This window comes from Homo sapiens, chromosome 11, assembly GCF_000001405.40.
Source record: "Homo sapiens chromosome 11, GRCh38.p14 Primary Assembly".
Taxonomy (NCBI): Eukaryota; Metazoa; Chordata; class Mammalia; order Primates; family Hominidae; genus Homo; species Homo sapiens.
Genome location: NC_000011.10, coordinates 120162829 through 120173900, shown reverse-complemented (window position 1 = coordinate 120173900; position 11072 = coordinate 120162829). Strand labels below are relative to the sequence as shown.

The 11072-nt window shown below is 48.7% G+C and overlaps 1 long non-coding RNA gene across 1 annotated transcript, besides 3 other annotated features; it reads right to left on the bottom strand.

The window, feature by feature from the left end:
- Nucleotides 1–2219: 2219 nt before the first annotated feature.
- On the bottom strand, nucleotides 2220–4924 carry LOC107984399 (uncharacterized). The gene is made up of 2 exons (NR_159965.1): nucleotides 4753–4924; nucleotides 2220–4130 (listed from the first exon to the last, which is right to left on the bottom strand). It is a non-coding gene; the product is annotated as an uncharacterized LOC107984399 (long non-coding RNA).
- Nucleotides 4387–4546: an enhancer, noted in NCBI's record as "active region_5636". NCBI's record gives its function as "activates an Ori minimal core promoter by ATAC-STARR-seq in GM12878 lymphoblastoid cells {active_cell/tissue: GM12878}" and the evidence as "EXISTENCE:reporter gene assay evidence [ECO:0000049][PMID:35858748]".
- Nucleotides 4547–4716: a silencer, noted in NCBI's record as "silent region_3985". NCBI's record gives its function as "represses an Ori minimal core promoter by ATAC-STARR-seq in GM12878 lymphoblastoid cells {active_cell/tissue: GM12878}" and the evidence as "EXISTENCE:reporter gene assay evidence [ECO:0000049][PMID:35858748]".
- Nucleotides 10357–10526: an enhancer, noted in NCBI's record as "experimental_19417 CRE fragment used in MPRA reporter constructs". NCBI's record gives its function as "activates a minimal promoter by MPRAs in K562 erythroleukemia cells, with activity observed for both the introgressed and non-introgressed 11:120034168 variant alleles {active_cell/tissue: K562}" and the evidence as "EXISTENCE:reporter gene assay evidence [ECO:0000049][PMID:34662402]".

Sequence of the window (11072 nt, the reverse complement as noted above, 5' to 3'; positions counted from 1 at the left end):
TGTGTGATGATGGCGAGTGGTCATGAAAATGTACTGGCTCAAGTGTGAGGAGTCTAAGTTTCAAGTCCAGCCCTGAGGTCAGTTAGCTGTGTAGCCCTAGGCTTCTGTTGAAGTGTTTGGATAGGATGGTCACCAAGCCCCTCACCATTGAGGGTGTGATCTGATGACTGTTCAAGTCCTGCAGTTGGCTTGGAGACAAATGGGACATGACCATTCTCAATTGGCTGGCTGTTGAGGATTCGTTGAGCCAGATGTTGGGTTGCCCATCATATGATGGCTCCAGGCAGTACCACCGTCCTGATGTGGCTCCTGTCTAGGCAGCAGAGGGTCTCTGTTTCCTTTGAGTGCTGGAGCATGCTCTCAGATGCCTCTGGGGGCAGTTTCTGTGGAGGGTATTGTACTGCAGGCAGGGAGACACAGCAGAGGCTGGAGCAGATGGGATTGGCCCAGGCTGCTAGGGACGAGGACCCCCCATGCAACCCCTTTCAGAAGCACTGTGGGGGGAACCCCTCTACCCCATTAACGCCCCTATAATTTATGCCATCTGCCCCCATAAAACCAACCCATCTCCAGCGTCTGGTTCTCCAGATGGCCTTGGGGGCCTAATCAAAGCCAGGCCCCTCGCTGGCCTCTTCCTCTCATACTGGTCTCTTTATAGCCTTCAGCCATCCCGGCTCCAGGCCCCCTTAACTCCTTCATCCCCAGATTCCTCCTCCTCCCGAGGATCTCTGTTCTGTGCCCTTTCAACGCCCTGGACTAGGTTCACACAGAGGAGGCCACCCCAAAGTCAAGTGTGATTTCTTGGGAGAATCGCTAGATTGGGATCAGGATCCTATGGCCACCGCTGACTTACTGAGTGGCTTTGGGACAGTCATTTGACCTAGCCCCCGTTTCCCTATTTTTGGCAAGCAACATTTCAATGAAGAGCTTGCAAGATGTTTTTTACCTACATGGTCTCATTGAAACTTCCAAAAGGAGGTAATTACTCCCCTTCTAACAACTGTCACACGGGGACATTCACGGCAGCATGGGCTGCGGAGAAGAGGAAGTAATACAGAGGTCCGCAGTTACCAAGCCAGACTGGGGAGGGGCCCCACGCAGGTGGCACGAGCCCCTCTCTCCAGGCAGGTCAAGGTCCCCCATGGGAGGGCGTGGGATCTCCCCACAGCTCTGTTGCCGTGACTTCTGGAGACTGAGGCTCTGGCTGTGACTCTTGACACAGGACAGTGTGGGGGAACTTGGGGGAGGCAGAGAAGAGGCCACGTGGAAAGCAGCACTTCTGTTCCACGCCACTCCGCTGAACCCCACAAGGCAGGGGGTGCAGGTCAGTGACAGCCCTCATGCTTCCCAGAGGAATCAGAGCCTGTCCCCGCTGAAGACAAGACAGGCGCAAACAGGCCACACAGGAGCAGGAGGGCTGCAGCCAGTCCCACAGGAGGAAGGGCTGCGCCAAAGGTAGCCCAGGCATCGGGTGGCTGGTTGAGTAGTGGCGTGGAGACACCCTGTGGTGAGATCAAGGAATCACAGTTTGGTTCCCTCCGAAAGGGGATGCGACAAAAAACCCAGAATCAGCGTTGAGTTTCCACCTGTGCTGGATAGATACTTTCCAGAGACCTCCTTTCCCCATCCCGGTGCTCTGGGAGGGTGACGTGCCAATGCCCAGACTCTGCCACCATCCACCTTCTAGCTCTCCCACTTGCCAGCTGTGTGATGGTGGCAACTTACATAACCTCTTGGAACCTCAGTTTTCTTGCCTGTGAGATGGGCTACTTCGTGGGGTTGTTGCACGGATGGGGGCAAGTGCTTGCCCAAGGGCCTGGTATGTAATAAGAGCGAAACAAAGTTGGCCACTGCTGGAGAGGCTACATCTTGTCCAGTGTCACATAGTTAGTAAGGGACTGGTGCAGCAGGGATTGAATCTAGGTTTCTGCAACTCTGCCTCATGGGAAGCAGGGAAGTTGACTGTTGAGTGTCCCCACTCAAAGGCCACGTTTATTTCTGAGATGGAGAAGGTACAGTTAGAGCTCACCTCAGGTGGGGCAAGAGAGAGATGACTGGCCACATCTGACTTTCTGGCAAGCCCAGCTCCAGTCAATGAGAGAGCAGAATCTCCCACAGGTGGGAAGAGGTGTTGGTGCTGCCTCTCCTGCTTCCTTCTCTGTCCCTTCCCCTACCTTCCCCCAGGACCAAGCACCTGGAATAGAGATGGACTCTCTCCCTTCCATTTTACTGAATTTATTTTATAAAGACGGGGTCTGCTGTGTTGTCCAGGCTGGTCTTGAACTCCTGGGCTCAACTGATCCTCCCGCCTCAGCCTCCCGAGTAGCTGGGACTACAGAAACACACCATCATGCCCTGCTAATTAAAAACAAAAACAAAAACAAACAAACAAACAAAAACCAAAGTGTTTTTTGTTTTTTTGTAGAGATGGGGGTCTCATCATGTTACTCAGGCTGGTCTTGAATTCCTGGCCTCATGTGATCCTCCCGTCTCAGCCTCCCAAAGTACTGGGATTACAGGCATGAACCGCCATGCCCAGCTCTCCCTTCCATTTTAAAGAGGAGATCATAGGCTTGGAGAACCCAAGTGACTTGGGCAAGACTGAACTGGCAAAGAGCAGAGTCGAGATTGGGCTGGAGGTCACATTCCTCCATCTGTGACCTCGGACACTGCTCCAGCCGCCATCTCCACGGTGGGGCTTGGGCCCAGGTGCTTGGCTTAGCTAGGCCAAGCAGTGATAGAACATGAAGGACGGGGTGGACTCTTTCCTAGGGTGTTCGGATGACCAGCTCAGAGGCTGGTCCCCACTGGCCAGTGGCCTGACACTGCCGTCCTGCTGGACATATGCACATAGCAGGCAATGCAGGCATTGCTTAGTCCTCGGCTCTTAAATGTCTGGGCCAATCCCAGCTGCAGCCAGTGCTGCCTCGGTGGAGTCAGTGAGTCTTCCCCAGGATCTTGTCTACCCTAACACGTGCCCTGCACCACAGGTTTGCTGAGGGCACTGATTTAGGCTGAGAGCTCATTATGAGGGACAAGCTAGGTGTTATGTGTTGGGTGAGGGTAGAGTTACTAAGCTGTGTGTGTTGTGGGGGGAGGTTGGCAACAAGAGCTGACGTTCATCGTGCCTGTGGCAGTGTGCCCGCTACCCTCACAGCCACTCTGTGAGACAGATGCCACCATCCCGTCAATTTTACAGACGAGAAAACTGAGGCACAGAAATAAAGAAACTGGCCCAAGGTCACACAGTCAGAAGATGGCAGAGCCAGGATTTGAACCCAGGCAATCTGACTCCATAGCCCATGCTCACCACCATTGCCCCCGACAGCCTGTATAAAGGATAGGGCAGTTGGGCTCGACAGAAAGTAGGGTAATGGGGTCCGCAGAGGGACAGTTGGGGCAGGGAAGGGGGCTGCAGGTTCCGATGAGCAGTTGGGGCAGGCTGTGAGGAAAACCAGTGTGTTGGGGGCTTCTTGTGAGAGGCAGAGAGCCTCGGTCAGAGGATTAGAGGTTGTGCCCTCTCCCCGAGAGCAGAGCACTACCTGCAGGCAAGGTATCCCGGTGTGCCAAGAATGGGTTACAAGTGCGTGGTCAAGACAGAGATCTCCCCTCCCCCACCCGACCCTCCAGAGGGTCCAGGGGCTCCCGGGGCATCTCTGGCCCCCTCCCCCAGCCCCGCCTCTGGCTGAGAGCAGCCATCGCCTTACTTCACTGTGCCATAGGGCAGCGTCGTTTCCCGCGAGCCGCGCTGTGAGAAAGCCAGGGAGCCCTGCCTGGGGGCAGCCCCGACTGCAGGTCGCCCAGTGCCCGCGTCCTCCCAGGCACAGGAGCTTGGCACTGCGGGCGCTACTTCCACAGCGGCAGCCGCCTCTGCCGCTCCCAGTGCCAGGCACAGGCAGCCCACTTCCACCTAGGGCTGCTCTGTTATTGGCGGTGGGGTTAGGCCTGACCGTCAGGGTGGGCTCTGCGTTCACCAAGCTCAGGGAATCCCCGAGAAGCTCATTCAATCCATTCGGCATCCCGGCGCCTGCTGCCTTCCACAGGCTGCACGATCCTGGGCAGGGGACCCCCGTGGATTCCAGATCCATCATGAGGATGGTGGAAATAGTAATGCCCACCGCAGAGGGCACCTGCAAGCATTAAATGAGCTGGTCTGCGCATCCCGCAAGCCTTTGCCGAGCGCCTGCTCTGTGCCAGGCAGTGCTTGGTGTGGGGATGGGAAATGAACTAATAAACACAGTGCCCACGCTCAAAGAGGGGAAGTGGCCAGGGCCAGGGAAACGCACCCAGAGACAGAAACTGGGATATGCAATGAATAGGGCTCGGCACAGAGCCCAGCACGGAGCACGCCGCCCGCACACACTCCTGGGCCTCCCTTTAGAGCAAGAACAGCCTGGCCGGACAGGGGATTTCACCGCTGCCCTCTGCAGCCCGCAGGGAGCCCGAGGGCAGACGTAAAGCCCATGCCGGCGTCGGCCATGAAACAGGCCTTTATGGGGAGCGGAAGCAGCCATCAAAGCCTAGCGAGCCGGGGCAGGCCAGGGAACGCTGAGAGCCCGGACGCGGAGCGCTTCCCACCGCCCCCACGGCCCCGGCCGTGGCGCCTCCCCGCCTGGCCACACGGGGGCGCGCTCCCCCTCCGCGCCTCGACTGCTCTACGTCCGCGAGCCCCGTCCGCGAGCCCAGTCCGCGCGCCCCTCGGGTCGCTCACCATGTCCCGCCTCGCGCCACCTCCCCGTCTCTACCGCGTACCTTCCGCGTTCCTCTCCATGTCCCCTCTGGGTCCGCCCAGCGCCCCGGCTGCGCCCCCTCGGCGCCCTCTTTGCCGGGTCTTTTGCTCGCATCCTGCCCGCATTCGCGGCGGAGAGAAGGAAGACACAGCTCGTGCAGCGCTTCAGCTTGAGCGGGCTCCCTCGATGCGCTTCCTAGGCTAGCAGGGTGTGCGGATGCCGCTCGGCTGAGTCGCGGGGAACGACGGTAGCTCACGCACTAAGCGCCCTCTCCGCGCTGGGCTCCGAGGGTGCGGCGGCGGGACCAGACTTTGCAGGGCTTTGTACAGTCTCCAGGCCTGGGTCTCTCTACTGAAGGGACTTGGGCAGGGTGTGAAGGAGGGAGGTGGTGGCGAGAGGGAATTTATGTTCGGAAAGATCCCTCTGGCTGCTGGGTGGAGGGTGACTTGGAGTGAGCTGGAGTTGCCCTACAGAGAGCAACCAGGAGATTCCTGAGAAGTCCAGGAGGTGACGGTGACAGGGTCACGCAAGTGCAGACTCCAATGCGTTACACATATATGTGGGATTCGGGCGTCGGTCCAGCCCCTCCCTACTCCCTGAAGCCGCCCCAGGCCATCACTTGTTGGACTGCAGACCCCCTCCCTTCGCAGAGATCCCTTCCCCACCCCAGGGTGTTCCCGGCCTGAGGCTCCCACCAGATGTGCCACATCATGGGTAAGCTGTGACCATCACTAGCACCACTATGTCCACAGCCAATGTAGAGACGTCCAGTTGGGTGCCTGCCTGGACCCCACGTCAGGCCCTCAAAAGGGAGCAGCCCCCGAGAGTGTGTATGTGGTGGCTGGGGTCGCCACAATCTGTAGTCCGTTCATTGCTTTCAGACCCCGAAGCTTGCTTCTGTCTGTAGAGTCAGAGGCAGTCTGTCTTCGAGGAACTGATTAATGATAAACAAACTTCCAGGAGACTGAAAAGAAAGTATAACGTCAATGTAGTATGTAAGGTTCTCACAGAGCTGTTGTGAGACACACTCACAAATATTTGGCAGACACACACACACGTGCTAGAACGGTGCCTGTGCCGCGCATGTTAGCTGTGACTGTGATGAATGGAGAGAGTGTCCAATATGCGGGTCTGCCAAATATGGTGCTTCTCTGGGATGCTGACTAGGTCTCCTGGCTCCTCAGTGGGCTTGGATTCAGAACAAATGATGGTTCATCCATCCTCGTAAAGTGTCACCGGAAGTTCTCAGGGAGGCCCCCTGAAGTTCCCTGTCCTCCAACAGAACATGCCTCGCTGGTGCCTGAAGTGTCCCTGTTCACCAGATATGCGGTGGGGCTCCCCCAGGAACTGCGGGATCGCATGGAAATAGTCCGTCTCTTTTTCTGGCTTCCTGCCAGCCATTACTTTTTGATGACCAAACAGGGCTCAAACGCTTGGGCTTCTTATTTCCAGTTATGACCACAGACCAGTCCTGCCTGTCTGTATACACCCTCGTCGCTGTGACTAAACTTGGACGTTTCCAAATCTTTTCAGCTTCAAATTTACGGATAGTCTCTTGGGCCACCTCTATACCCTTCCTGTGTGGGTTTCACTACCCAGTTTAACTCTCGGAGAATTACCCCGGAGGCTTCCCTCTGCCCCGGTTGCTGGCAATAACCGCTGTGCCTGTGTGGCCAGGTTCACCATCCGCCATCCTCACCAGGCACTGATAACAACTAGGAGGACTCATATTTTTAACTTTAGTTTACAAACCATATATGCTCCTCTGTTTGATCTTCAGAACAACACCATACTACTGTGAATTATCATTCAACTACACACATAAGAAACTGACGTTTAGAGTGATAATTAGAATTGTATTAGGTCTCATAATGATTATGCAGCAGATTCAGGACCAAACTCAACACTCATGGCCCAAGATCCTTTTACAGTACCCCTCTCTGCCTTCCCAGTACAATTGATAATCAACTCCCTGCTATGGCCAGGGTGCTACTGGTAGCATCACTATCCCTACCACGGGTCTTACCCAGCATCTGTATGGCCAATAGCCACCATCATGCCCCATCAGTTGTACTTACAACTGAAGAAAAAGGCAAGTGCAGTTTGTGAATGGACAGTTAGTAAGGTGTTCACACTTCACACAAGATCCAGGGTAAATCTGTCTGAGGGGTGAGAAGAGAGAGGTAGATGGAGGCATTTCAAGATAGAAAAAAATCAGAGGATCACCTGCCCCCATCAATCAACGATAGCAAGACTTGGATATTAAAGTTGATTATTAGCCAAAAGACTTTGGGCCAGTCACATTGATTCTCTGGGCCTCAGTTTCCTACTGTGTAAAAGGGACAATAAAGTTCTAGCTTCCAGTAATGGAAGAATAGCTTTGTTTTACTAACCCTTCCTCCTTCCCTCTCTCCTCCCCAAGCAGCCACCAGCAGCAGATAACAATGATAAAATCTAGACAAAATATTTTTAAAAACCCATTAATCGAAGACATTGGAGAATGATTAAATGCAGGCAGAAACTGAAGGGATGTCCGCCCATGAAAAAATGAACTGCAAAGAATGAGACTTAGGAGTTTGCAGCCTTTTTCTGAGGGCATACCACATGGGTGGGTTCAGTGGCAGAAGCTGCAGACTTACTAGTTTGAGGTATCAGGCAGAGCAATCAGAAAATTGGGAATGCTGAAAGCGAGGGAACCGCAGAGGGCGTGAACCCTAAAATCTAATGTAAAATCTGCTCAAATCCTTGGTTGATTGCTAAGCTATTAAGCTAAACTGTCAAGCATGAGGGAGACCCCAGGCAGCCTGGCAAAAAAGCAGCAGCTAGAAGCTGAAGGAACTGAGCAAAGGTTTCAAATGTTACTCACCACAGGAGAGGCAGAGTTTGGAGTTTGAGTCTAGCCAAGTTAACTAACTGCTGCAGTTGAAATTACTCTTCTAGCTAAAAGCAGAACTATCATTTGACCCAGCAATTCCATTACTGAGTATATACCTGGGGGAATATAAATCATTCTACCATAAAGACACATGCACACGAATGTTAATTGCAGCACTATTCACAATAGCACAGACATGGAATCAACCTAAATGCCCATCAATGACAGATTGGACAAAGAAAATGTGGTACATATACACCATGGAATACTATGCAGCCATAAAAAAGAACAAGATCATGTCTTTTATGGGAACATGGATGGAGCTGAAGGCTATTATCCTTAGCAAACTAATGCAGGAACAGGAAACCAAATACTGCATGTTCTCACTTCTAAGTGGGAACTAAATGATGAGAATTTATTAACACAAAGAAGGAAAGAACAGACACTGGGGTCTTCTTGAGAGGGAAGGTAGGAGGAGGAAGAGGATCAGAAAAGATAACTATTGGGTACTGGGCTTAATACCTGGGTTATGAAATAATATGTACAGCAAACACTGATGACACGTGTTTACCTATGTAACAAACCTTCACATGTACCCCCACACCTAAAATAAAAGTTAAAAAAAGAAAAAAATTACTCTTCAAAGGTATATGACAGAATCCAGAGTCTCTAGTACATATCATTCACAATGTCCAGTATCTAATCAGAATTCACAGGCAGGCAAAGAAACAAAACACGGCCCATACTCAACTAAAAAACATTCGATTGACCTCAACCCTGAGGTGATCCAGCTATTGCAATTAGCAAAGATTTTAGAGCAGCTCTTATAAATATTTGAGAATATAAAGAAAAATATATGGATTATGAATGAACAGATGGTGAATATCAGCAGAAAAATACATCCTATAATAAAAGAAACAAATGGAAATTCTAGAACCAAAAATGATCAAGCAATAAAATAAAAAATTTACTAGATGGGTTTAACATCAGATTGGAGGTAGCAGGAAAAAGAGTTAGTGAACTTGTAGCTAGACCATTAAAAATTATCCTATCCTAAGGACAAACAAAAAATTTTAAAGAAAAATGAAGAGCACTTCAGAGGTCTGTGGGACATCAAGCAGTCTAAGATGAATGCCACTGGAGTTAAAAAAGGAAAGGAGGAGAAAGAGAATGAGTAAGACAAATGTTTAAATAAATAATGACCTAAACTTCATAAATTAGGTGGAAGGACATTAATTAGCAATTCAAGAAGCTCAGTGAACCCCAGGCAAGGTAAGTACATAGAATACCATACCTAGGCACCTGATGTTCAAGCTGCTGACATCCAAAGATAAAGATAATACATTGAAAGTATCCAGAGGAGAACGATGTTACCGATCATGACCAGCTTCTCAACACAATGGAGCAGCATCTTTAAAATGCTGAAAGAAAAAAGCAAAACAAAACCCTGCCAAGCCAGAATTCTATATTCAGCAAAATGTTTTTAAACATGAAGACAAAGTAAATACATTTTAAGATAAAAATGAAGAGAATTCATTAGAAGCACAACTACACTACAAAAAATGTTAAAGGAAGTTTTTCAGGCTGAAGGGAAATGGCACCAGATGGTAGCTCAGATTTGCCAGAAAAATAAAGTCCATCAGACATGATAAATATGTGGGTAAATATAAAAGACGACACACATATCATATTTTCTTATCTTAAATCTTTAAAAGACATATGGCTGTTTAAAGAAAAAATTATAACACTGTCGTGAGGGGTTTATAACCTATGTAAATTAATATATATGACAAAAGCAGAGCAAAGTATGGAGGTAAATTTAAGTGGAATTATTCCTGCGATTCCTACATTTTATGTAAAGTACAATATTAACTGTAAGTACATTGTGGTAAGTTAAGATGCATGTTATGATACCTGGGACAACCCCTAAAATGCAAAGAAAAATAGATAAGAAAGGTAATAGAGGAATCAAATAAAATAGTTAGAAATATTTGATTAATTTATTTTTTCTTTCTTTTTTTTTTTTTCTTAGAGAAGGAGTCTCACTCTGTTGCCCAGGCTGGAGTGCAGTGGCATGATCTCGGCTCACTGCAACCTCTGCCTCGTGGGTTCAAGCAATTCTCTGCCACAGCCTCCCGAGTAGCTGGGATTACAAGCGCACACCACCACGCACAGCTAATCTTTTTGTATTTTTAGTAGAGACGGGGTTTCACCATTTTGGCCAGGCTGGTCTTGAAATCCTGACCTTGTGATCCACCCACCTTGGCCTCCCAAAGTGCTGGGATTACAGGTGTGAGCCACCGTGCCCAGCTGAATAATTTCAAATAAGTCAGGAAAGGAAGAACAAATGAATGAGAGAACATGTGAAATAAATAGAAAACAAATAGGAAATGACAGAACTAAACTCAAATTTATTTATATTACATCAAATGTGATTTGACAAATTATTGATAAAATGATGAATTAAACACTTTAATTAAAAGGAGTAGACTATCAAAATGGACAAAGAAGCAGGACCTAGGTATATGCTGACTGTACGAGATGAACATTAAATACAAAAAACACAAACAGGTTGAAAGTAAAAGGATGAATAAAGATATACCATTTGTGATGGTCAGTTTTATGTGTCAGCTTGGCTTGGCTATAGCACCCAGTTATTCAATTAAACACTCATCTAGGTGTTGGTGCGAAGGTATATTGTAGATGTGATTAGCATCTATAATCAGTTGACTTAAAGTGAAGGATATTATCCTTAATAATCTGAGTAGACTTCATCCAGTAAGTTGAAAGGCCTTAAGAGCAAAATTGAGGTTTCCCAGGGAAAGAAATTCTGCCTGTGGACTGACTATAGCCTCAGCTCCTGCTAGAGAGTTTCCAGCCTGCCAGCCCACCCTACTCTACAGATTTCAGATTTGCTAGCCCCTTCAGTCACATCAGCCAATTCCTTGAAATTCTGTCTCTCTGAACACACACACACACACACACACACACACACACACACACACACACCCCTGTATATCTATAGAAATATAGATATCCAGTAGGTTCTGTTTCTCTGGTAGAACACTGACTGATGATACACGATTCAAATAGAACTCATCAAAAAGCTAGAGTTACTAAATTAATATCAGACAGACTGAACTTCAAGACAAAGTGTATTACCGGAAATTAAAGGGATATTTCATAATGATAAAAGGATAAATATATTAAGGAAGCATAATACTTAGAAATATGTACTAAAATCTAATAATAATTAGTTATAATTATTATAATCTGCACTAAATCTAATAACAGGGCTTCAAAATGAAGCAAAAACTGATAGAACAAAATCAATAGAAAAATTTACAATTATAGTTGCAGATTTTATCTGCAACTCAGACACTGATAGCATAATTAGACAAAAATTCAGTTAGAATACAGAATATTTGAATGACACTATTGACTTCCTTGACTAAATTGACATTTAT